The following is a 26256-nucleotide window of genomic DNA, read 5'->3' as shown; positions in this document are numbered from 1 at the left end:
AGGGATCTAAATATCCATTTCTTTGCAGTATTGCTCTTTCTAGTGGAATAATGTTAATTGAAAGACTTGGTGAGCTTTTTCAAGTATACTGTTGTATTAGGAAACAAAGTTTAAAAGAGCTTAACCAGTGAGCTTATTTTCTCATGTCAGTATTCTTGAACCAGACTATACATTTCCTAATAAATGCACATATCTTCCCTGTAGCCACTATTGAGTCCTTACTTATATAGATGATGTGATGAGTTAACTTGAGTGTATACATGTATCTGCCATGTATAATAGGTCAAAGATAAAGTTTGCATGTTTTCATCATCAACTCAATTGCTGCCTTATGAGAAAAAAAACAGTGCTTATTTCTTCATTAATTAAAAAAAATCATAAATCTCTGGTCATATGGAAAAGAAAGGATAGTGGGCTTGGCTCAGTATTTTTTAAAACCCGTAGCCAAGTCTTTGTTTCATTGAATTTTTAGCCAGCATAGCTTATGTGTACCTGCTCCCAAGCTCCCACAATACTACAGTAAAATTAAGACTTGGTAGCATAGCTGGACATACATGAGTTATTTATATACCCAACTCACTGGTGCCTTTCATTAATTCTAAAGCTAGCCAGTTATTCTGACAGGTTCATTTGCTTTTTTGCTTTGTTCTGTTGTGATGATTTGCTTTTTATTTTTAACATTTTTTAGGCTTACTTCACTTTATTTTTCTTGTATAAAAACCCTATGTTGTAGCCACAGCTAGAGCCTGGGTCCTCTGTCTGGAGACTCTGGTGTGGGTCTTGACGAGGTGGCCAGTGAATTCCTGATACGGAGACTTGGTGAATACAGTCTCCTTCCAGAGGTTGGGGGCCAGTTAGCTGTAGGTCTTGGAGATGGCATCATAGGTGGCCTTGGTGAAGTTGGCCAGGGTGGCAGTGCAGCCCCTGGCTGAGGAGTAGCAGTCATCGATACTGGCCATCATCAGCAGCTTCTTGGGCACTAGGGCTAAGAGAATGCCAGTGCCTCTGGGTGCAGGGATGAGGCGCACCAGCACAAAGCCACAGCAGTCTGTCACCTTGCAAGGGACTGCGTGGTGCTTGCTGATCTTGTTCCCCCAGTAGCCTCTGTGCACGGGGACATTGGAGAGCTTGGCCAGGATGATAGTCCCTTGGATGGCAGTGGCCACCTCCTTGGAGCAAGTGGCCATTGTAGTCCCCAGTGGCAACAAACACCTGGAATCTGGTGTGCTGGCCAGTGCGCGTCTGCTTCTGCACTGGCACAATCTTCAAAACCTCATCCTTGAGAGAGGTCCCCAGGAAAAAGTCAATGATCTCAGACTCCTTGATGGGCAGGGAGAAGTGATAGGTTTTCAGCAGGACTTCATCTTCGTGTCTTTGACCAGGCAGCTCAGCTTGGTCATGGGTGTCCACTCCTTATCCTCAGCCTTGCCTCCTTGAGCTCTGTGGCCCCGACCCTGGCCCCAGATGCCACTGCCCAAGCCTCCATGGAAGTCACTGTGGTTCCCCATCCCAGGGTCTCTGGGGCCTCTGGGCCCTCCTGCTGCCCTAGCTTCATCTGCCATTTGATGTTTTTTCAGAGAAGAAGCTGATTTGCTTTTTAAACAAATCTCACCTCAGAAAGACTAGCTAGTATCTAGTACATAAAGTCCAGGGTGAGCATCCCACATTAAAAAATCTGAAATCTAAAATGATCCAAAATCCAGAACTTTCTGAGTGCTGATGTGATGGTGCTCAAAGGAAATGCTCATTGGAACATTCAGATTTGGGATGCTCAGTCAGTAAGCATAAGGCAAATATTCCAAAACCTGGACCTGAAATCCAAAACACCTCTGGTCCCAAGCATTTTGGATAAGTGATACTCAACCTGTATATTTATGTAACATCTCAAAACTATATATAATGTGACATACAAAGTGAAGACAGCCATGTCTTGTTAAGAACTGGTGCTTCCTGTACAGCCTAGAGGCATAAAGTTAATTTCTTAGTTTTGGCCAAAATGAATCGCTAATATTTTTAAGCCATTGCATAATTTTTTGCTGTTCCAACTTGTTTAGTAGTAGTGAATTGTAGATATTAGTGAATGTGTCTGTTTTGTCTTATTTTTTGCTTATTTTATCTTAACATGGTTATTTATTTTGCCTTTGAACACTTGGAATCTGTTTCTATAATAGCCTGGATGATGGCCGTTAGGAGTGGATTGATGTGAGGAGTTTGTAGGATGAGGCTGAAGGAAAGGATTAGCCTCCTGCACTTTGTAGAAATTCTCACTATAGTGCAGAATATTAAAAAGAGTCATTTTTAAAAAGATGAATTAATGTGAAATACTGTGTGCTTGAACCAGATTTCTACAACTGCTTTTGAAAATTTAAAAAGAAAATCCAATTTGGTTAAATCTATAGGGGACTAAAAGTTTGCTGTTAAAATTTTTAGTTAATTCACTAACCCTTTTTTTTTTCTTTTTTCTTTTTTTTAACCTTCAGATGGTGAGGTCTACAGCTTTGGGACTCTTCCCTGGAGAAGTGGACCAGTGGAGATTTGTCCAAGTAGCCCCATTCTAGAAAATGCCCTGGTTGGGCAATATGTTATTACTGTGGCAACAGGAAGCTTCCATAGTGGAGCAGTGACAGACAATGGTGTCGCGTACATGTGGGGAGAGAATTCTGCTGGCCAGTGTGCAGTAGCCAACCAGCAGTATGTGCCGGAACCAAATCCTGTCAGCATTGCTGATTCTGAGGCCAGCCCTTTGTTAGCAGTCAGGATTTTACAGTTGGCGTGTGGCGAGGAGCACACTCTGGCATTGTCAATAAGCAGAGAGATTTGGGCATGGGGTACCGGTTGTCAGTTGGGTCTCATTACCACTGCCTTCCCAGTGACAAAGCCGCAAAAGGTAGAACATCTTGCTGGGCGAGTGGTGCTTCAAGTTGCCTGTGGTGCTTTCCACAGCTTAGCCCTTGTACAATGCCTCCCTTCCCAGGATCTGAAGCCAGTCCCAGAACGATGCAACCAGTGCAGCCAGCTCTTGATTACTATGACTGACAAAGAAGACCATGTGATTATATCAGACAGTCATTGTTGCCCATTAGGTGTGACACTGACAGAATCTCAGGCAGAAAACCATGCCAGCACTGCTCTCAGCCCCTCCACTGAAACCCTTGACAGGCAGGAAGAAGTATTTGAGAACACTCTTGTAGCAAATGATCAGTCTGTTGCTACTGAACTGAATGCAGTAAGTGCTCAGATCACAAGCAGCGATGCCATGTCCTCTCAACAAAATGTCATGGGAACAACTGAAATTTCCTCTGCCAGAAACATACCATCATACCCTGACACCCAAGCAGTCAATGAATACCTACGGAAACTGTCAGATCATTCAGTAAGAGAGGACTCAGAGCATGGTGAAAAGCCAGTGCCATCTCAGGTACCTGCTCAATTTTATAAAATAAAAGTGTGTCTAGAGTTGAACTGTATGGGCTTTTCTTTAGAAACTTTAAAATGAGTAAGGCTTGGTAGCATTTTTTATTTTTTGAGTTTGATTATAATTTTGTTTTATCAGGCAAGCCTAGATAAAGGAAAGAACCTGGATTAATTCAAAATCACTCTTTATGTTTGTTCTGGCCCTTTATGATATTGAAAGGTGTCATGTTGGGCTTGTTTTATAAGTAGGAGCATTTCATTTTTTTTTCTTGCTAGTACTTTTTTTCTATGGCTAAAGTACTGAATTTTGGTGGGCCCTGAATAGTTTAATATAACTAGAGATTCACAAAGATTCTTCTTACTTGTGTTTGTAACACTCTTCAGAATTCTGTAGAGAAAAGTCTTTTCCTTCTTTAACAGGGAAGATTGTTTTGTGGCAGATCCTTCAATTGTAGGCAGATTTAAAACTTACAGGCAATTACATGTTTCAGTTTTTTTCAATTATAGCTGTGGTCCTTACTGGGCTTAATTTGAAGAGGTGGCTAATATTTTATCTTTTTGTTTGTTTGTTTTTGAGATGGGGTCTTGCTCTGTCACCCAGGCTGGAGTGCAGTAATGCGATTGTGGCTCACTGCAGCCTCGATCTCCCAGGTTCAAGCGATCCTCCCATTTCAGCCTTCCAAGTAGCTGGGACTATACACATGCCACCACACCTGCTGATTTTATTTTTAAGTAGAGTAGAGCCTGTTGCCCAGGCTCATCTCAAACTCCTGAGCTCAAGCAATCCTCCCACCTCAGCCTCCCAAAGTGTTGAGATTACAGGCATGAGCCATCATGCCCAGCCTATTTTATATATCTTATTAAAACTATTTTCATTTTGAAGATTTGTGGTAGAATGAACAAAAGTTGTTTATCAGTAGCACATGGTAAAGTTTGAGTTCCCGCTTAAACTAAATTGTTTTAAAAGGATTATTTCTGTGTTTTACTCTTAGTGTGGCCTTTTGATTTTGCTTTACCAAAACTGTAAGAAAACAAAACAAAAGATCATACTCATAAAAGATCTGTCCTGCAGTGTTTCTTTTTAGGTTTTTGAAACCACATAGCCTCTTGATTCTCAATTCTTATTGTTTACTCTGTCAGAATGTGAACATGAAGGTATTTTTAGAAATAGTCTTTATTTCACAATCTATTCACTGAAACTTGTGGGTATTTGAATTTTTAAAAAAATCAAGGATAAGCTGTTTGGAGAAAGGTATTATAAAGTCTGAACAAAGCAAAAGTAGTAGTTTAACAAGAATGCATGTAGAAAATTCTTAGACTGTACATGCTTATCACATTTTACTTACTTTGTTAAACATTGGAAGTTTTTGTTACTTATGCTAGTAACAATGTGTGTGTTTCTATTGAATTAAATTTAATTTATTTAAATTAAATGTGTGTTTCTATTACATTTAATTTATTCTTTGTAAATAACATCTCAATCATACAGCTAATTCACAAGGAATTTATTTGTTTTAGGGCAAGTTTTTTCTCTTCTGGCGAGATATAACTGAGACTCTCTCACTTGGGAAATAAACCAAAGTATTACTGGTTGACTGGAACTCCTAAAATTATATATTTCATCAAAATTGCTAATTATGTTTTTTGTAGGGGAGGGCTTATTACTATATTTTTAAATATAATTAAGTAGAAGGAGCCAGTTAGAACAGTAGTTCAAGGTTTATATAAGGTAGAGTTTTGTGACTTTGCTGTACCTAGTGGTTAAGAACCCCCTAAAATAGTTACCTCTAAATACCATCACTGCTTATGTAAGGAGCCTTTGTAAACAAAAAGTGGACATAGTGACACTAGTTCTTCTGAACAAGCTATCGTGGGAGCTGTATCACCAAAGAAGTAATAGGCTTTGTATTTCTTTTTCGTTTTATTAAGTATATTTGTTTATTGACTATTTACAGACTAATTTGCATGGAAATAGCTCTTTTGAATTTAGCGTTTAATTCAACAAAATGTTTTGAGTACTTACATGTCAGGCACTTCGCTAGGTACCAGGAATTATTTCCTTTAGGAAGTCAGATGCCAATGTTAAAATATACAAACAAACACACACACACACACACACACACATGCGCACACACACACATTATATTTGTATTTTAGTTTAGGACAAATGAAGGAATGTGTATATTCCCTTTGAGATCTTTGGGTACAATAAGAAGCAAATTTTTCAATATGATCTATGCTGATGAGCTGAAAGCTTTTTTATGTGTTTGGTAGGTACATTTAATGACCTTCCTTTTTAGGGAACAATGATGTTTGACAGCTTAGAGTAAATTTCAACTGATTTTTTCATTAAGATATCAGAAAACTTTAGTTTGACTTTCTAGTACACTTCTAGAATCACACTAAGAACACTGGTTCCAAATGTTTAATTATTAACCTACCACATTTGCCATCTGTGGTAGCAAGAGCAAAGGTAATCCTACAGCTTTTCTAGCCCCTGGGTCATAGAAAATAACTCATTGATGAGCCAGTAAAGGCACTCGAGTTGAGCATAATTTGGGAGATGATAGGTTACAGGTATAACTTATTTTTCCATCTCCATATGCTATATCTAAATTTCAATTTATAAAGCATTTCAGGGAAAGCTTTTTTTTTCTTCATAAAATCTAATTTTTTTCCTGCCACTTCTAGGTAGTAGTCTGTATAAATTTTCCTGAAAGGGATCAATAATGAAATTTGCATTTTTTCAATCTTCTGTCCAGGGCTGTCACAGTGCACTTGGCATTAAAGGCAGTGTTTTCCATGCCTTTTCTTCTCCCTCCCTTTTTACTGTGTTTAATTTTATAAAAGCAGCCGAGGCTTATTTTGAAATACCATAGAAAAACACAACATCTAGACAAAAGGAAGTACTTTGGAGAAGGAACTGTATTTTGAGTACTCATTTCCATTTAATGTGTTAACTCCATGATCAAGAAGAGAATACCTTTAGTTGAAGATGAAGAGAACTTCTGTCGTTTTAGATTCTTACATGCAAATAGCGATGGATATTAGCCTTTCTTTTTATTGATTGCTTGTTGCATAAGGGATTATATTTTTATATAATTTTTTATGTGTGTATATTTTAGCCTCTTTTAGAAGAAGCAATTCCTAATCTCCACAGCCCGCCTACCACAAGCACCTCAGCCCTAAACAGCCTGGTGGTCTCTTGTGCATCTGCTGTTGGTGTGAGAGTGGCTGCTACTTATGAAGCTGGTGCCTTGTCACTGAAGAAAGTTATGAACTTTTATAGTACAACCCCTTGTGAAACTGGAGCTCAGGCAGGCAGTAGTGCCATTGGCCCCGAAGGTTTGAAAGATAGCAGGGAAGAACAGGTTAAACAGGAATCAATGCAAGGAAAGAAAAGTTCAAGTCTTGTGGATATCAGAGAAGAAGAAACAGAGGGAGGCAGTCGAAGACTCTCCCTCCCTGGATTGTTGTCACAAGGTAAGGAAATAACTAGGTTTTGTGAATTGACTTTTGGGGAATCCAGGATGCTCCTGACATCGCATGCTGTATTATTAAAAAAGCTGTCCTAATTATGAAGCTGACATATTCAAATGTGAATATTTATTTAATGGTGGTTTTAAAAGAAAGTTACATGTTTATCTGCTTTAGATATCACTATAAAGTTAGAACGTCACTTTTTCTTGATGTTTGCTCCTGCTTATGAACCTTATTGTGAATCTTATTTTATTGTTCTGGAGTGTTACAGTACCCTTCTTATTTCCTAATTGGGACCGATACTCCAGATCGATGAGGTTGGAGATGCGACCATTGGATAAGTGAATTACTGTACTTGACTTGAAAGAGGAGAGAATTCTTAAGCTTCAAGAAGAGAAAATTTCATTTTCTGAGACCATAGGCAATAAACTTTTTAGAATATTATGCAGTTGGTTCTTCTCCTTTTCTCAATCAGTTCAGCAGTCTCAGCCATCTGGACTTAATGCTTCTCAAGAGTGGCCTGCAGACCAGCAGCATCAGCAGCATCTGGGAACTTGTTACAAACGCAGACTCTCAGGTTCCACTCTCGACTTACTGAATCAAAACATGCATTAGAGCAAGGTCCCCCAGGTGATTAGTATGCACACTAAAGTCTGAGAAGCATTTGATGAGACCAGGATTTGGCAGACTTTTTCTGTAAAGAGCCAAAGAGAAATATTTTAAGGTTTGTAGGACATCCTGTCTCTGTGACAACTACTCAGCTACGCTGTGGTTATGTAAAAGCAGCCAGAGACAATATGTAATGAATGAGTGAAGCTATATCCCAACAAAACTTTATTTACAAAAACATATGGTAGGCCCTGTTTGGCCATGGGCTATAATTGACCAACTCCTGGTTTACATGATTTTGTGCAAAGCTCAAAAGTTAGGAATTCTAGACTGTACTAAAACTTACCTTTTTTACTCTGCACCTGTTTCTCCCCTTGTTCTACTTACTGAACACTCTTGTGCCACTCTTAATTCTCATTACCACCAGATTTTCCTCTACACAAATAAAACTTAAGTCATGATTAATGTGAATATATATGTATATATATATAATATATATGATGTATAAGAAGGCCTATGATCTCTATTAAATCTGAAGGAGAATCTTGCACCAAACTTTTCTTATTCTTAAGTGTCCTTTAGCATTTTAAGTATATAAATATATTTGCAATCTCTTTGAACTACAAATGTGGAATATTTTTTCATATCATTACATCATGAATCCCACTAATAGACTTATATCCTATGGTTAAATTTTACTTAGTAACCTAAAGTATCTTTCGAAAAATTTTACATGTACTCTTTTCCCCCTCTCTAAGAATTATCTGGAGTACATCCTTGAGGAATCTTCAAGTAGGTTTATTTGAGTCTCCGTATGCATAGAAACGATACATTCACCAGAAAAGATGTTGATATTAGGCAGTGATGATCACTTTCTTGTGGCCCTCAAGTTAATGACCTAATGACTAAGTCTCTACTGAGTGACATTTGATGATTTTCTTCAAATCTTATCCTGGCATCAAACACTATTCACATAGTGTTGTGTGTGTTTGATGTAATTTTGAACACTATAAAAGATGGCAATGTTCTTTTAAAACATTTTTTAACATCTCTGTAAAATAATTTGAAATAGGCAAGTACAAAAGCTTTTTAGTATATCCCTTTCATAATCTTTTTCCCGTCTCAGAAATGTTTACATTTTATAGCTAAAATGAATTCTTTATTACAATTATTCATAATATATTTCAACTTAGACCTTGACTTAGAAAGGCTTTTTGTGTTTTAAGAGATGGGAGCCGGGCACAGTGGCTCACACCTGTAATCCCAGCACTTTGGGAGGCCAAGGCAGGAGGATTACTTGAGATCAGGAGTTTGAGAACAGCCTGGCCAGTATGGCAAAACCCTGTCTCTACTAAGAATACAAAAATTAGCTGGGTGTGGTGGTGCATGCCTGTAATCCTAGCTACTCAGGAGGCTGAGGCAGGAGAATCACTTGAACCCAGGAAGCAGAGGTTCCTGCGAGCCGAGATCATGCCATTACACTCCAGCCTGGATGACAAGAGCGAAACTCCGTCTCAAGAAAAAAAAAAGAGACAGTGTCTTGCTATGTTGCCCAGGCTGGAGTGCAGTGGGTATTCACAGATGTAGTCATAACACACTATAACCTCAAACTCCTGTGCTCAAGGAATCCTTCCATCTCAGCCTCCTGAGTAGCTAGGACTACAGCCACTTTGCCTGGCTCGTTAATTTTTGTTTTCAAATGAGAAAAGTATTTGTCAGCCTTAGTATAGTATTTTGTTCAGCATATTCTTTAGAATACAAGTTCTATAGGATGTCACTAGATGTTGTACAGAAAAGGTTTCTGTGGCTAAATGTTTGGAATTCCAGCTGGGTTAAACATATTTAAACAGGGCTTTTATTTACAGGATTTGTCACCACCTTCAGTGTGTGCTAATGTGTGTGTGAATCTCTGCAGAGGAGGTAGTGGGAGGATAGATTGTAGCAGTGAGTATTTACCAATTTCATTTGACTAACAGGTCCCCTTTTCTACAGAGAGCCTCTAGAATATGCTTCAAAAATACCATTGGTGGCGTATGTTTTTGAAAATCTTAAGTTTGTCCAAATGATATGTTTTCTTACCCTCTGGACTCCCACTCCTTCACCCCACGTCTGGTTGGTTTTCAGTTTCCCCCAGGCTCTTAAGAAAGGCTGCACGGGTGAAAACGAGGACAGTGGTTCTGACCCCCACATACAGTGGAGAAGCAGATGCGCTCCTGCCTTCTCTGAGAACAGAAGTGTGGACCTGGGGGAAAGGGAAGGAAGGGCAGCTGGGGCACGGCGATGTTCTGCCTAGGTAAGCGCTACCAACATTTACCGATAGAAGTTGGCTTAAACAAATAATCTCTCTCCTGGGAAGGTCTCTAAATCTCACTTTCCTCATAGAGGAAATCTGGGCTCTTCTAGCTTCAGATTATTACACACCATTAACTCTGATAAAAAGCTGTCACTTTACTCTTGAATTTGTTCTTAACAGTAAAGGACTTGGCCAGGCCTGGTGGCTCACACCTTTAATCCTAGTGCTTTGGAAGACTGAGGCAGGTGGATCACCTGAGGTCAGGAGTTTGAGACCAGGCTGGCCAACATGGCAAAACCCAGTCTCTACTAAAAATACAAAAATTAGCTGGGCATGGTGGTGGGCTCCTATAATTCCAGCTACTCAGGAGGCTGAGGCAGGAGAATCGCTTGAATCTGGGAAGGGCAGAGGTTGCAGTAAGCTGAGATTGTGCCACTTCACTTCAGCCTGGGCAAAAGAATGAAACTCTTATCTCAAAAAAAAAAAAAGGAAAAGAAAAAAAAAGCAGTAAAAGACTTAAGTATCCATGGTGCGCTTTTCCATATCTTCTTCAATGTGTGTTCATCTTGGAGTACAGAAAGGGGTGTTGGGATAAGATTATATTTCACTGGAAGACAGGAATGGCTCAGATTTTTAATTGATGAAAAAGAGGCCCCCACCTGTCACATAGGAAAAGAAAAGAGCCAACAGTTTTTTTTGTTTTGTTTTTTAACCTGAAAGATGTCTCTGCCACTGCCAAAATAACTATAATTCAAACATCAGACTATGTCTATTCACATATATTAGGGTAAAACTGGCATTTTGTTTATTAGAAATTGTTACGACATTAACAAATTAGATATTGGGAAGTTTTTAAGTGAGTAATTGGAATGATTATCTAAAGTAGTGAGTTAATATAAATGTCTGTATTCATAGTAGAGTGAAGGCAACTGGAATTAATTTAAAAATTACCTTCCTTCTGTGGTTATTTTTTACTGTATCCTAAGTATACTTTTTGCTATAAAGAATCATTTGTAGTTTTATGATTCTTAACAGATTCTAAATTATGGGGATTAATTAGTGATTGATAGACAAAGGTTAAAACCTTCCAAAAATTATTCATGATATTTAGGAGTAGATTGACCATATATCCATTATGTTTATTTTAATGTTTTCTTTAGAAATGTTTATTTTTACACGACAGCACTTTATAATTTGAGAAAGGCTACGATTCTTGCTGAGAATACTTTGACTTTGTGTGCCTGTGTGTTTCTTTTTAAGGCTTCAACCGTTGTGTGTAAAATGTCTGGATGGCAAAGAAGTAATCCATCTGGAGGCAGGTGGTTACCATTCTCTTGCACTTACTGCGAAATCCCAGGTAGGAGGCAAACTATTAAATGCTTTACCTTATTTTCATGGAAGGCCAACATGACATTGTTGGACCCTCATTTGTTGATTATCTGCTATATGTCAGGCAATGATAACCGTATCTCATTTTAGCTTTCCAATATTTTGTATGGTATTATTTCCACTTTACAGACGAGGGAAGTGGAGTAAGAGAAATTATGTAACTTGTCTAAAGTCACACATACGTAACAGTAGAGCTTGGATTTAAACACTTTTCTGCCTGATTTAGGAGCTTTCTATAATGTGTTCTCACCTAAAAAGAGAACCCCAGATTTTCCAGGGTATTGGTGAATTTTTATTTGTTACAAAGAAGATACATAGTAAAACACTAAGAAAATAAAGTCATTTTTCTTTAAAACTGTGGGACCTGAAAGTGACCTCTAGCATTACTAAAAACCATACCCATGTACATAAACATAAAGAAGTTGTTTTAAGTTTTTTTTTAAACCCAGACTGCTCATCTGCAATAAGTTAATATTAAATATATTCATATTTCGATAATGGTGCTTCACCAATTCCTTTATCTTTTTAAGAAGCCAATAAAGGATTCGAAGCCCTTTTAATATTTGATTTGATTGCACATTTCACATACTAGGCTAGCCAAAAAACTAACATAACTTGTATAAATATTAATATTAGGAAAGAAAAAGGGGAATTTACTGTTTTTAACATGATTCATTCAAAAGACTTAAAAATGAGAGATTAGGAAGGAGGTCAGTTACAAAATAAAAATTACTGGCTTTATTATATACATATAATAAAACAAAACATACTCGAGGAAATTCTGCTCAGAACTACACCAAAAGTGTTAAGGAAGTAGGAATAAGTATAAAATGCATATAACCCATATGATGCAAACTTTAGAACTCTTTTGAAGGGTCATGAAAGCAGTAGTAAAGTGAGAGGTTTTATTTTTGGATGAGATGCGTCAGTTGTAAAAATGTCATTTCTCTCTTAAATCATTAATCAGCACAGTGAAAATTCAGTACAGTCCCCAAAATATTCCAGTGTAATATTTACAATTTGATAAAATAATCCCAAAATTACTTCAGAAGAATAAACATAGGTGAGCCAGGTAAAAAGAGAGATTTATCCTTATATATTATAAAATTAAACAGATCAATGCAACAGAAATATGCCTGTCGGCTAGAAATAATCTCAAGTATATATGAGAATTTAAGATATAAAAGTGGGTGTTTCCATTCAGTTGGGAAAACAAGACTTGAGTATCCGGTAAATGTAGTAAATGTTTACTGGCTTCGTATTTGTAGGAGAAAACTAAGATGGCTATACATATTCTAATTCTGGGTGTATTAATGATGTCATTAAAAACTAGAACTGTGTGTATGTGTGCGTGTGTGTGTATGAACAAATTAAGATGAGTCTTTTAGGCATAGAAAAAGACATAACATCAAAACTGGAAATTAGAAAGTAAGATATGTTTGTCAATATGATAATTCAACAGTCCCGAACAGCAAATAAAACAGTGTAAACAAAATGAAAATACGTAACAAACTGGGTAAAAATATCTGCAACATATGTGATAAAGTGTTGCTGCACTTATATATAAAGGAACAGTTGTCAAAGGATAAAAATTGTCAAAAGGATATTTATATTTTCGTCATAAAAGAAGTAGAAATGGCCAGCAATAAATGAAAAGATGATCATTTAGCAAATACATTTAAATTAAAAAACAACAGTACAGTGTTTTTCTCACCTATGAGATTAACCTATGCAAACCTAAGGATTACATTCAATGCTGAGCATTGATTAGGATGTAGGAGAAAATGTGCGTGCAGTGCAGGCAGGAATGTAAATTGGACCTTGCTGGAAGAGAGTTTGTCAGTATGTATCAAAAATCAGAATGGCATAGTCTTTGCCTAGGAATTTATCCTAAGCAAATAGATACATGAATATATGTATTCAAGGATTTTTCCTATCCTTTTTAATATTAAAGAATTGGAGGCTGAGTGTGGTGGCTCATGCCTGTAATCCCAGCACTTTGGGAGGTTGAGGTGGGCGGATCACCTGAGGTCAGGAGTTCAAGACCAGCCTGGCCAACATGGTGAAACCCCATCTCTACTAAAAACACAGAAGTTAGCCGGGCGTGATGACAGGCGCCTGTAATCCTAGCTACTTGGAAGGCTGAGCAGGAGAATTGCTTGAATCTGGGAGGCGGAGGTTGCAGTGAGCCAAGATTGCGCCATTGTGCTCCAGCCTGGGTGACAAGATCGAGACTCTGCTTCCAAAAAAAAAAAAAAAAAGGAATTGGAAAGAACTTAATTCAGTACGTAATTTGTTAAAGTATATGCACAGTAGAGTTCTAGATAGTTATTAACAATGATGTTACAGATCTATACTTACTGATGTGCAAAAGAGTAGGTGCCACCAAGTGGTTGATCAGTGATTTTCACTTTATTTCTATTTTTATTTTTGTACTGTCACAGTCTTGTACAATGACCATGAATTACTTTCATAATCAGAATAAACAAACATTTTAAACCTAGTCATTGCAATCTAGTTTCTTTTGTCTGTAGTGTCGTGTAGGTACTTGTGTTTCTCTTACAGTAACTCTTCATGTATGAAAGGTTTTCTGTTCATTCCATAGTACTTTTATCTACAGAGTAGGAAATCATGATTACTCTTCCTCTATATCACTTAATGTTTTTATTGCTTTCTCTAAAAGAGGCAGTATACGATAATTCCTGGGATTAAATCCTGCCTCTTACATATGAATTTGTGACCATGGGTAAATTAACCTCTCTGGGTTTCCTTATTTATTTATTTTTGTTAGGATTGTTGTGAGAATGAATCATCAATTAATATACAGAAAGTGTTAAGAACAATGTCTGGCAGTTAGTAAGCACCTGAAAAGTGTTAGTTATTGTTATTGTTATTGTTGACTCCTCAATTCTGCCTTCTTCTTTTCTTTTCTTTTTTTTTTTTTTGGGATACCGACTTTTGCTCATATTGCCTAGGCTGGAATGCAGTGGCATGATCTTGGCTCACTGCAACTTCTGCCTGCCGGGTTCAAGCCATTCTCCTGCCTCAGCCTCCCAAGTAGCTGGGATTACAGGCATGCACCACCATGCCCAGCTAATTTTTGGACTCTGTCTTCTTATGTACCAAGACTCTATTTGCGCATTATCTCTGGTCTTGTTAAAAATGAATTTCCTTAATATCTGTTAAAGAGTGAAAGACTAATATAAGTACTTAATGTATAATTGTTGGTATTTGTGTATATATGTTAATTATTATAAAGGTTCAGAGTTGATGTGCAAAATCAGATTCACAACGCTTAGCTACTTTTCTGTGTTTTTTTGATAGGTTTACTCATGGGGTAGCAATACCTTTGGTCAACTTGGGCATTCCGATTTTCCAACAACAGTTCCTCGTCTTGCAAAGGTACTTTTGTGAACTTGATAGCAACTTATTCCACAATTCTTAGCTGTAACACCTTATACTTCTCCATTTCTTATTTTAAAATATCGGGGGAATTTCATACGTACAACCTAAATTTGTTTTGGTTTTCATAAGAAAATTTTTAAAAACAGGAAGCCACGTGTTTTCAAGCTAAATATCCGTTTTTTATGTGTTTATATTTCTTAGCTTCAACTGTTCATTAAATATGCATAGTTTCTTTGTTTTTTTAAGTAAAAAAATGAAAAAGTGCTTTCTTTTAAAACATGTTTCTAGGACTCTGCTGTTTTCTCAGCGTTACCAGATAATGTCTACTCTTTGAATTCTCCATTGTTTGACTTTTACATAACATTATTTGATGGTGTAATTTTGTGTGTGCATTTAAAAATAACATGCAGAGTAGTAAAACATTTTTTTTTGTAAGCCTTTTCACTTTCTGTAGTAAAGCTAAAAGTAGAGGTGAATTTTTTTTTTTTTTACTGTTAGATGGATTGGTTTTAGTTTATGTAATGCCATTGAGAGATTGGTAGCTTCTAGTCTCTTTGATGAAGTTCTGTAGCAGTGTTTCTCCACCTTGTGTTCCGCCTCATCACCCTGAGGAAATACCAAATTCTCATCAATTGTACTGGTTCCTTGAACAAGAGTTTTAGGGTTTTTGGTAGAGATGCCCTCCATGTGACAGAATGGAATATGGAGGTCATAGATATGTAGTTGGATTCTGATATCTCCCCGTTCCCAAGACATGCTCCCTCTGGAGTAATGGAGATTAAAGAAGGGCAATTACGTCAATTTTAGGAATATGATTTGAATGTGACAGTTAATAAATATGCCAATAATTCATATATGCAATGTGCACTGTGCATCTGTCACTATTTAAGATTTTTACATGCTGCCTTTCCTTTTGGTGAACTTAATTTTACTGGGAAGAAAAGGCTTAATAAAACATTAGGGAACAATTATTACTTCTAGCTCCAATCTGAAATGTTTTCAGTATAAAACATCGTAGTAGTAAGCTATTCAGTTTCTGATACATTATCACAAACAAAGATATTGCAAATCATTGTTCCTTGTTTTTTGTTTATTTGAAGTGTGTGCTTATTCATACTAAGGAAACCTTTGTAATGTAGCATGGAGACCTGAAAATCAAACTCCTTTTTAACATTTTAGAGCAAACAAGAGAATAGTTTGTTACAAGATTTTAGTTTCATAACTCTCCGACATCATTGGGAGCTTGGTTTTTTTATTTGAGGAAGGCTGAGAAAAACATTTTTGAAGTCATCCTGATTAATCTGTGAGAATTAAAAGTGAAGGCAGAGTGAGATTTGAGTTAGTTTTGAGACTAGGAAGAAGACTCCTTTTGCAAAAATTGTAATGCGTCCTTTGCAAAATGAATGGGAAGTCCGTTATTTGGATCGCCTGAATTTGAGAACATAATGTCATGCCAGAAGAAGACTGCTATAAAATTAGTAGTAGACACACACACACACACACAACACACACACAAAATCACCTATGATTTGGAGCCTAGCTAGATACTAAGGATCTAATAGATTAGGGGTTGTTCGTCAGTCCAGGAGTCAGTGCTGAAACTATCTAAACACAAAGGATCTAACAGATTAGAGAGTGTATTTGTGTGTGTGTGTGTGTTGCCTATCAGTCTAGGAGCTGAAGCTGGGTCTAGAGGTTAGAGGTAGTAGTTTTTGCAGTAACACACTTTCTCCAAATGAAATCTTATGAGGAATCCCATACATAAAACCCACAAATGAGGAACTACTTTGGTTAAGGATGGAGTGGGGGCCTAGAGCCCTGGCACCTGCCTTGGCATGGTGGCCACTGAATCACTGTGTGGAATCCCGAGGTTTGAAAATTATTGGTTTAAAGGCAGTGGTTCTCAAACTTTTGCATACATCAGAATCACCTGTGGAGTGCTTGTTAAAACAGAGTGCTGGGCTGGGCGCGGTAGCTCACGCCCGTAATCCCAGCACTTTGGGAGGCTGAGGCGGGCGAATCATGAGGTCAGGAGACCGAGACCATCCTGGCTAACACGGTGAAACCCCGTCTCTACTAAAAATACAAAAATTAGCCGGGCGTGGTAGCGGGCACCTGTAGTCCCAGCTACTCGGGAGGCTGAGGCAGGAGAATGGCATGAACCCGGGAGGTGGAGTTTGCAGTGAGCCGAGATTGCGCCACTGCACACCAGCCTGGGCGAAAGAGTCTCAAAAAAAAAAAAAAAAGCGACCGAGTGCTGGACTCTATTCCCCATTCCCCTTCCCCCAGTAGCTCTGGGGCCTGGGAATTTGTGTTTCTAACATGTTCCCAGGTGATGGCTGCTGCTGCTGCTGCAAAGACCACTGAGAACCACTGGTCTAAGGGATCCCTGCAGATGGGCTTCTCAGGGGCTCTGCCTGTTTTAACATCCTGGGAGTAGGCACAGTAAAGTCACGTAGGACTGGTAGAGTTCCAAGTGGGAAAACTGAATTTTAGCACCCAAGAGTTTAGTTGGCCAGAATAGAATTTAGCCTTATTAGTTTGTTTTCTTTTACCTCGATTTTTGTGCACACAGCCAAATGTGGAAGGACAGAGGTATGTCCTAATTGTCACTTCAAGAGTAGGGCTCTGGAAGTTTCTGGGTCTCTTCATTATAATACAGTCTGTGCAGACTTCCAAAAGTAACAATAAAAAATTAGATGTGTGGTTTTTCCTTTTTAAATTCCAATTTTTCAGATTTTTATAAAAACAGTTCTAAATTTAAAAGCTGAACAAGGGATTCCGTCTTACTCCTGCACCTGCTCTGCATTTGATTGGGCAAATTGCTGGGTAAGTTTGCTCTCAGATATGACTGACTGCACCACGCTTATTTAAGCAACCTAACGTTTCAGTTCCTGTGGATCCGAAGTTCTCTCTGATTGCCTTTATCTTGGACAGACACTATCTTTCTGTCGTTGCAGATAAGCAGTGAAAATGGAGTCTGGAGCATAGCTGCAGGCAGGGATTATTCCCTGTTTTTAGTGGATACAGAAGACTTCCAGCCTGGGTTATATTACAGTGGCCGACAGGACCCTACAGAAGGTGACAACCTTCCAGAGAATCACAGTGGTTCTAAGACTCCAGTACTTCTCTCCTGTAGTAAGGTGAACAGGAATTGGATCCTAAGGCCCACATTCAGTAACACATAAGAAGTCTTTTGTTTTTGTTTTTATTTGTATGTATGGCTAATTATTAGTAAGCATCTCTAACTACCTTATTTAAAATTGCAAACTCCTTTCAAGCCCCCTTCACTCCTTATCTTCTCTCTCCAAAGGGCCTATCACCATCGAATACACTATATAATTTACTCACTTTGTCTATTGTCTGTCCTCCTTACTATAATGTAAGATTCAGAAGGGTAGGGATTTTAGGCTATCTCATTCACTGCTGTAGCATAGTACATACTTTATAAATATTTTGATGATATTTGATGAGCATAGTACATACTTTATAAATGTTTGTTGAATTAACACCCTCATGTAGGAATATTGGAAAGTACATTTTACTATGAAGTTTCCTGACTGCAGCCGTAGAGCCCTCGAGGTGAATTAGAAATAGAGTAGATGAATTTCTAACTATTAAGTGGGAAGTAACAATGCAAGAGCCTGAGATAGGCTCATGGCAGACCATGAGAGACCCAACAGACAACCAACAGTGTTCTGTTTTTCCCTGCTTCACTTCTCCACTTTTAATTTAATTAAATTAATTAATTTATTTTTTTGAGACTGAGTCTTGCTCTGTTGCCCAGGCTGGAGTGCAGTGACACAGTCTTGGCCCATTGCAACCTCTGCCTCCTGGGTTCAAGCAATTCTCCTGCCTCAGTCTCCCAGGTAGCTGAGATTACAGGTGCCCACCACCACGCCCAGCTAATTTTTGTATTTTTAGTAGAGACGGGGTTTCACCACGTTGGTCAGGCTGGTCTTGAACTCCTGACCTCAAGTGATCTGCCCGCCTCAGCCTCCTGAAATGCTAGGATTACAGGCCTCAGCCACCTTGTTTGGCCTTAATTTTATTTCCTACTGTTTACCTACTGTTTATCCCCTTTTTATTTGATCTGCTTTCCCACTCTGTTTTCCCTTCTTTTTTGTAAACTGAAACCATTGGCTTATTTCTAGCTTTCTTTTCCCCATAAAGTAACTCACATTCTCAAAGTGACATGCTGCAGGGAAATTAACCCCCAAAACTAGTATATTCTAGGATTTCTTATTTTTATTAAGTAAAATAGCATATGGGCTTTTTTTTTTAGTCTTTGTGTTTGTTTTTCTGGCTAGTAAGTTATGAATGTGTGGGGACAAGATCTTTCTTGCTAAAGGTAACATTGGGACCAAGTACAATGGTTCATCCCTATAATCCCAGAACTTTGGGAGGCCAAGACTGGAGGATCACTTGAGGCCAGTTCAAGACCAGCCTGGGCAACATAGCAAGACCCTGTCTCTACCAAAACAAAACAAATTTAAAGATTAAAGGCAACATTGGCCAAGATGTGTCTGTAGTTGCCAGTCCTGGCTTTACATTCCCCATGAATGATTTCACAGTCTAGATAGACGATCAAATAGGCTGATGAAAGGAATGAAGCTCTCGTGTGTGTCTTTGGTTACCATGGGATGTTAATAGTGCATTGGGTCTGTAGCTTGCCTGCCTGATTTAATGGGATATGTGAATAAAGACATGGAATGTTTTTTATACAGTGGTATCTGGGGTAAATGACAAAAAGTCCCTTTTTAAGAAAATCTCTTTTCATTGTACAAAAGGCAGGTTAATTCTTAGATCCTAGATATTTTAATATATAGCATAGAGATCCTCCCTGGTCTCATTAATCTTATTTTACTCGGAAAGTGGTCCTGAGACATGTATCCCTATCATTTGGATCTTTATATATCCAGGGGGTCTGTTTCCAAACAGTTGTAATGTGAAATGAAAGGTATCTTGGAGATAATTGAAAGTAGGTGTGTATAGTTATGTATAGATCTGGATATGCATATATAACAATGATGTACTGATGAACCAGCTCTAAAAAAAAGCGACCCCGACGACCCCCCCAAAAAAAACCCTAGTCTGTGGTGCTTGCAGATTTTCACTATGGCCAATTTTCAAGCTGCCAATGGTTTAATTACTTGCTTGCAAATTTTCTGAATATTTAACAGTTAGCTCTTGTCAGCTGATATAAGCCAGCTTCAGTATACCAAATTAGTAACATAATTATATGTTATATTTAATCCTTTTGTTTTCTTCTGTTTCAGCTTGGATATATAAGCAGAGTGACAGCAGGAAAAGATAGCTATTTAGCCTTGGTGGATAAAAACATTATGGGGTATATTGCCAGTCTCCACGAGTTAGCTACTACAGAAAGACGATTCTATTCAAAACTAAGTGATATCAAATCTCAGATTCTCAGGCCTCTTCTCAGTTTAGGTAAGTTGCAACCCCCTCTCTCCCACCATTAAACCATCAGGTCTTTATCTCTTCTTCCTATGTCACAAATAATGAAAACCTGTTAGTTTATGGTTTACTTCTTGCTATGCACTGTCTTTGTGTGTGTGTACACAGGTAGTCAACAATTTACAAACTGTTTCCAATTTGTCAATAGCCTCACTGCCCCTGCCCTGTCCTACCACTCCCAGAGCTCCTGCGGCTTCCAGAAGTAGAAAATGGAACTTTTAGGATATTCATGGCAGAGGAACAAAAACAACTTTGGGAAAGTTGACCCTACATAAAGTTAGACTTCCAAACAACACTTCTCCCCCTGCTGGTCCTAAGAGATCTTCCAGTATACTATCTGAATTTTTTATTTTCCTCATTATAGTTCTTAGAATTGTATCAAGTAGAGATTTATTTGGATTTACAAGTAGTCTCTTAAAGTTGTGGATAACTATAAGAGTGTTAAAGCTCTTATCCGACTGGGCTTGGTGGCTCACTCCTGTAATCCCAGCACTCTGGGAGGCCGAGGAGGGCAGATCATGAGGTCAGGAGTTCGAGACCAGCCTGGCCAACATGGTGAAACCCCATCTCTACTAAAAATACAAAAATTAGCCAGGTGGGTGCCTGTAATTCCAGCTACTCGGGAGGCTGAGGCAGGAGAATTGCTTGAACCCGGGAGGTGGAGGTTGCAGTGAGCTGAGATTGTACCACTGCAGTCCAGCCTGGGTGACAGAGCAAGACTCCATCTCGGGGACAAAAAAAGATCTTATCCCTCAGCATGAGTTGATTAAATCTGATTCTTTTTCTTAGCTATGCCCAGCTACAAAGAGGTTGGAAGTGACGGGGTAATACAGAGGCAATGGGTTACAGTAGTACTAGATGGGATGCCACTGTCCAGATATACTGGGTACCTGGGGGTCTCTGGGAGAATAGAAAGGAATGCAGAATGGAAGTTGAGGGAACTGTTGCAGATAAACTTTTCCTATTTCAAATTTTTTTTCTGGGTTTGGCCCTACAGTCAGAAAACAGGAAGTTTTCTTTCTCTTTCTCTCTCCTGCACTCCTTGCCCCACTGTGTTGACCCAGAATTCAGGTTAATTCTCTAGTACATCACTTTTGCCATGTTGAGGACATTGTCTTCTGCAGGTCAGCCCATTGTTTCTTTCTTTTTTTTTTTTTTTTGAGACAGAGTCTTGCTCTGTCACCCAGGCTGGAGTGTAGTGGCACAATCTCGGCTCACTGCAACCTTCACCTCCTGGGTTCAAGCAATTCTCGTGCCTCAGCCACCTGAGTAGCTGGGACTACAGGTGTGCACTACCACTCCTGCTAATTTTTGTATTTTTAATAGAGACGGGGTTTTGCCATGTTTCCCAGGCTGGTCTTGTACTCCTGGCCTTAAGTGATCTGCCTGCCTCGGCCTCCCAAAGTGGTGGGATTACAGGCATGAGCCACCGTGCCCGGCCTGCCCATTGTTTCTAGTGGAAAAACATCTTTTCAAACAACTAATTTACAGTCTTTGTGAATATAATCCCTTTGTAAGCTGAGGACTGTCTGCATTTGTGTTTTTGTTTTTATTACCTTCTGCCTTTTAAGTGTTGTGGAGTCTCTGTTCTATAAATTCCCCTCCTCTAGGTAGGCTGAACACTCCAGGACTTTGCCAAGAGAAAGGAAGCAATCTAAGCTGGAAGCTTCCTGGATTGCTCTGAAAGAAAGGTTAAATCTGCCTCTTTCCTGTCCTGGTTGCTGATTTCTTTGTTGGTCTTCCCAGTCTACTTTCCTAATTGCTTGGAAAGAAGTCCTAGAAATGAGGAACTTTAGACAGGCAAAAAGCAAATAATATCCTGGTGCCATCTCTGAAATTCAGAGCATCCTCAGTGGTCCAATGTTTGGATTGCCTTCTCTGCACTGAAGGGTTGGGCTTTTCAAAGAGGCAAGTAGAGCAGAAGTCAGAACAAAAAAGCTGAAAATGTTTACAAAGATATAACTCCCCAAGTGAGTTTAATTCCTGACTGTCACTAATCAGTGGCTTAAGTTAGATAATTGACTTCCCTTCTCTTGGCTTCAGATTACTTATCTTCAAAATGACCAGAGAGTTGCATTAGCTCAGTGGTCCTCAAATTTGGCTCATCTTTAAAATCACCTGGAGAGTCTTTTTTAACAGAAAAAGCCATCCTGGAATCTATAAGGTTCCTGTGAATGTGTTTTTAACAAGTTCCTCAAAGGACTGGATACTGTGATCTTTGAGGTTGCTTTAATACTGTAATCATTTGGGTTCCTTAGTTGAGAGCACATGGCAACAGGTTAAGTAGTCTTAGAGGAATTCATAATCATAATCACATCATAATAAAGTGATCGGTTTTCAGTTTGTGTTGTCATCATCATCATTATTTTGTTATAGAAAATTTGGGCACTACAACTACAGTCCAGCTGTTGCAGGAGGTGGCTAGCCGATTCAGCAAGCTGTGTTACCTCATTGGTCAGCATGGAGCCTCATTGAGCAGCTTCCTTCATGGGGTAAAGGAAGCCAGGAGTTTGGTCATCCTGAAGCATTCAAGTCTCTTCTTGGATAGTTATACAGAGCAAGTATCCAGTCCCGTGTCATGTTCAATCTCTGCAGGGTTATTCTGCCAAGGAGAACAGCTCCTTAATCAGAAGAGACTAGATTAGGGAGAGTGATATAAGGTAATAGAAATTGCAAAGCAGTATTTTAATCTTAAGCCAACTATAGTTCTGGATTGCTAAAATTTAGTCTTCTCTAAATGAAAAAAAATTTAAAAATAATGAATTATCATGTTTTCTTCTATATTCTAGCAGAGTGATAGCATAATTTACATTAAATGTACTATAATAAGTCTGGTTCTTTAGAAAACAATTTTGTTTACTTAACTAAATTGTACTAAAACTTGGAAGAAATTAGTAACTAAACAAATTATTTCAAGACCAACTGCTGATTGTAAATATGGAGCTGTTCTGATGTCTGCTTTTGACTTTTATATAAATGGAAGTTTTAAAAGACCCAACTATTTTTAACATGAAGATGTTTTTCCTTAATAAAACCTGGAATAGTTATTCAAGGTTCTTTGCATATTTTTCAAGCAAAATATCCCAAGTGTACTTGAAAATGTAACTTAAAATGTTTCTCACGTTTTCTTAACTTGTATTTTGATATGATGATGTGAGGCATAATTTAAGTGTTATTTTAATGTATGTTAGGTTATGCTTTGATCTGAAGTATGTATAGGTTTTGTTCTCTATTCATTCACACCTCAACCATCCAGCAAACACTGAGTGCCCACTCAGTGCCAGGCATTTGCGGGGAGCTCCAAGCCCACAGCAGCACAGCATGGGGCCTGCGAAAAGCACCAGCCCTCAGGGAGTTCGTGTTTTGTTGGTGTTTTGTTTTGATTATTTATAACATAATAACATGTGTTTATTACTGAAAACTGCACAAATAAAGATAATCAAAAATCACCCATAATCCTACCACCAGAACTAACCACTGTTTATCATCTTAGTGTATTTCCTTTCCAACCTATATAATATGTACAGATAGTTGGATGCTATTTTAATTCTAAGCAAAATTGAAAATATTTGAAGCTGTTGTCAAAGAGGAAGTACCCTGGTTTGAGTATTTTAACTCATCATCTTTCAGAAATGAAAAATAAAAATAATAGAACTTGATACTAGTTTCTTTTTTAAAACTAGATTTTGTTGTTTCTGTGATTCCAGCTTTTACTGGTATAATTTTCCTTTTTTGACTTGAATTCATCTCATAATACCTCTATTTCACTTCTTTTTCTTCTCTGGTACTTTAGGCCTTATGCTTAAAAATGCTTTTGATACTTTGGGCTTTTTTTAACATAACAGGTTATTCCTATAGATGGGGCAAGTAAAATATTTGGGTTTATGTATGAATCTTTAAAATTATTTTTATAATTATAAAGTTATTAAAGCCTGGAGTGCAGTGGCACCATTACAGCTCACTGCAGCCTTGACCTGCCAGGCTCAAGTGATCCTCCCACCTCAGCCTCCCAAGAAGCTAGGACTACAGGTGCATGCCAGCACATCCAGCTAATTTTTTTAATTTTTTGTAGAGATGGGGGTCTCACTATGTTGCCCAGGCTGGTCTCAAACTCCTGGGCATAAGTTATCCTCCTGCCTCAGCCTGCAAAAGTGCTAGGATTGCAAGTGTGAGCCACTGTGCCTGGCGAAAATTATTTTTAATTGTGATAAAATACACATCACATAAAATTAACCATTATAACCATATTTAATTGTATAGTACTGTGGGCTAATTTTACTAGGAGTTTCCCTTCTTCCTCAAAGTCAGTTGATTCCATTTGCCAGCCCAAGTGTGTACAAGAAATGTACAGGGCTCAAAGCAGTATAACTAGACTTGTTCTTTAGCAGCATATCAATATTTAATCAACATTTTCTAACACTGACTCAAGCACTTTTAACATATTTTCTTACCTTCACTGTCATTTCTTTTTTCTTTTTTTTTTTTTTGAGCTGGAGTTTCGCTCTTGTTGCCCAGGCTGGAGTGCAATGGCACGGTCTTGGCTCGCCGCAACCTCTGCCTCCCAAGTTCAAGCGATTCTTCTGCCTCAGCCTCCCAAGTAGCTGGGATTACAGGCATCCGCCACCGCGCCCAGCTAATTTTTATAGTTTTAGTAGAGACGGGGTTTCACCATGTTGGCCAGGCTGGTCTCGAACTCCTGACCTCAGGTGATTCACTTGCCTCAGCCTCCCAAAGTGCTGAGATTACAGGAGTGAGCCACCGCCCCCAGCCTTCACTGTCATTTCTTAATTGGGAAACCTGAAGTGAAGATTACAGAAAATTTTCATCAAAAATTCAACTATTTTAATTATGTTTTCTCAAGTATGTTAATTAAGTTACCACGTAATAGATATTGCTTGGTAGATACCAAGTAAATTACTGCATTTTCTGCTTAGCTTTAGGTGTTTTTAAAATTTCCTTTTATATTACCATCTTTTTTTTTTTTTTTTTTTTTTTGGGAGACAGTCGTATCCTGTCACTCAGGCTGTGCAATGTTGGAATCACAGCTCACTGCAGCCTCAACCTCCCAGGCTCAAGGGATCCTCCCACCTCAGCCTCCCAAGTAGTTGAGACTACAGGCATGTGCCACCATGCCTGACTAATTTTTCTATTTTTTTGTAAAGTCGGGTTTCCCCATGCTGCCCAGGCTGATCTCAAACTCCTAGGCTCAAGCGATCCTCCCGCCTTAGCCTCCCAAAGTGCTGGGATTACAGGTGTGAGCCAATGTGACCAGCCTTATATTACCATCTTTACTAAGCTGGAATTCCCCTACCACTCCCTTTACCTCCATTATTGTAATTATTACACAACCTGCCCTTCACAAATGTTGACATCACAAAACTTCTGAAATTCATTGGTGAAATAATCAAGAATTATCTATTCCAGGTATGTGTTTGGAAACTGAAGAACTAATTTACATTTCAACTAATGTACATGTGTTTTCTTTTCTGCTCAAGGTATTGCACATCTATTACAAATTTCCTGGTTATGGGAGGATTCCAGCTTCTTGCTAAGCCTGCCATGTAAGCAAACCCACACCTTCCAGTTATCATTCTCTCCGCCAAAGATGACATTTTATAGTGCTCTGTTTTCGAGTGCTCAGGGAAAGCTTTGACTTCATCATTTTACCAAACAAGTCAAAATATAAACTTTCAGTAAGTCTTATAAAGGACAGGTACTATTAGCCACTGGTTATCATTATAAGTAGTATGCTATTGAAAAAGTACTGAATGACTAGGCTCAGGTTCGGGGTCCTTCTGTGCTATCCTTGAGACTTTGGACAACTCTCTTTACCTCAGTAGGCCTAGTGTTCTTCATCTGAAAAATGGGAATGTTCTCTCCCATTGGAGAGGAACAAATAATGTATGTGATGATGCACAGAAAAAAGTGTTTGCGCAGATACAACCTATTTGCATTTAGCTTCTGGGTAAATAATTTAAAGGCTCCTTACACAAGGCAATAATCCTGAACAGATAGTTTCTCAACAAGTGTTGACCCAGCAACAAAGCCAAGGTTTTAAAAATTCTGTGTTTAAGTTTTTTTTATTTTTAAAATAGAAGAGATAGGGTCTCACTGTGTTACCCAGGCTGGTTAGGAACTCCTGGGCTCAAGGGTTCTCCTGTCTCAGCCTCCCAAAGTGCTGGAATTAT

At 38.5% G+C, this 26256-nt stretch overlaps 1 protein-coding gene and 1 pseudogene across 10 annotated transcripts in view; one reads left to right on the top strand and one right to left on the bottom strand.

Annotated features, from left to right (window-relative positions):
• Positions 1-26256, top strand: part of ALS2 (alsin Rho guanine nucleotide exchange factor ALS2) — an 80667-nt gene that overhangs the window by 16635 nt on the left and 37776 nt on the right. For 7 of the 10 annotated variants that reach the window (NM_001410975.1, NM_020919.4, XM_006712654.4 and 4 more), the window contains 9 exons: positions 2481-3418; positions 6540-6897; positions 9628-9796; positions 11057-11153; positions 14510-14587; positions 17551-17733; positions 19870-20041; positions 22445-22625; positions 25564-25629. In NM_001410975.1, the coding sequence (NP_001397904.1) occupies positions 2481-3418; positions 6540-6897; positions 9628-9796; positions 11057-11153; positions 14510-14587; positions 17551-17733; positions 19870-20041; positions 22445-22625; positions 25564-25629 (2242 nt within the window). Of the gene's footprint in view, positions 1-2480; positions 4848-6539; positions 6898-9627; positions 9797-11056; positions 11154-14509; positions 14588-17550; positions 17734-19869; positions 20042-22444; positions 22626-22656; positions 22729-25563; positions 25630-26256 lie in introns of those variants that run through there. The other 3 variants (XM_006712655.4, XM_017004572.3, NM_001135745.2) reach the window with 3 other exon arrangements.
• Positions 689-1585, bottom strand: RPS2P16 (ribosomal protein S2 pseudogene 16; annotated as a pseudogene).

This window comes from Homo sapiens, chromosome 2 (assembly GCF_000001405.40).
Source record: "Homo sapiens chromosome 2, GRCh38.p14 Primary Assembly".
Lineage (NCBI taxonomy): Eukaryota > Metazoa > Chordata > Mammalia > Primates > Hominidae > Homo > Homo sapiens.
The sequence above is the reverse complement of the archived record's forward strand: the minus strand, read 5'-3'. Positions and strand labels throughout refer to the sequence as shown.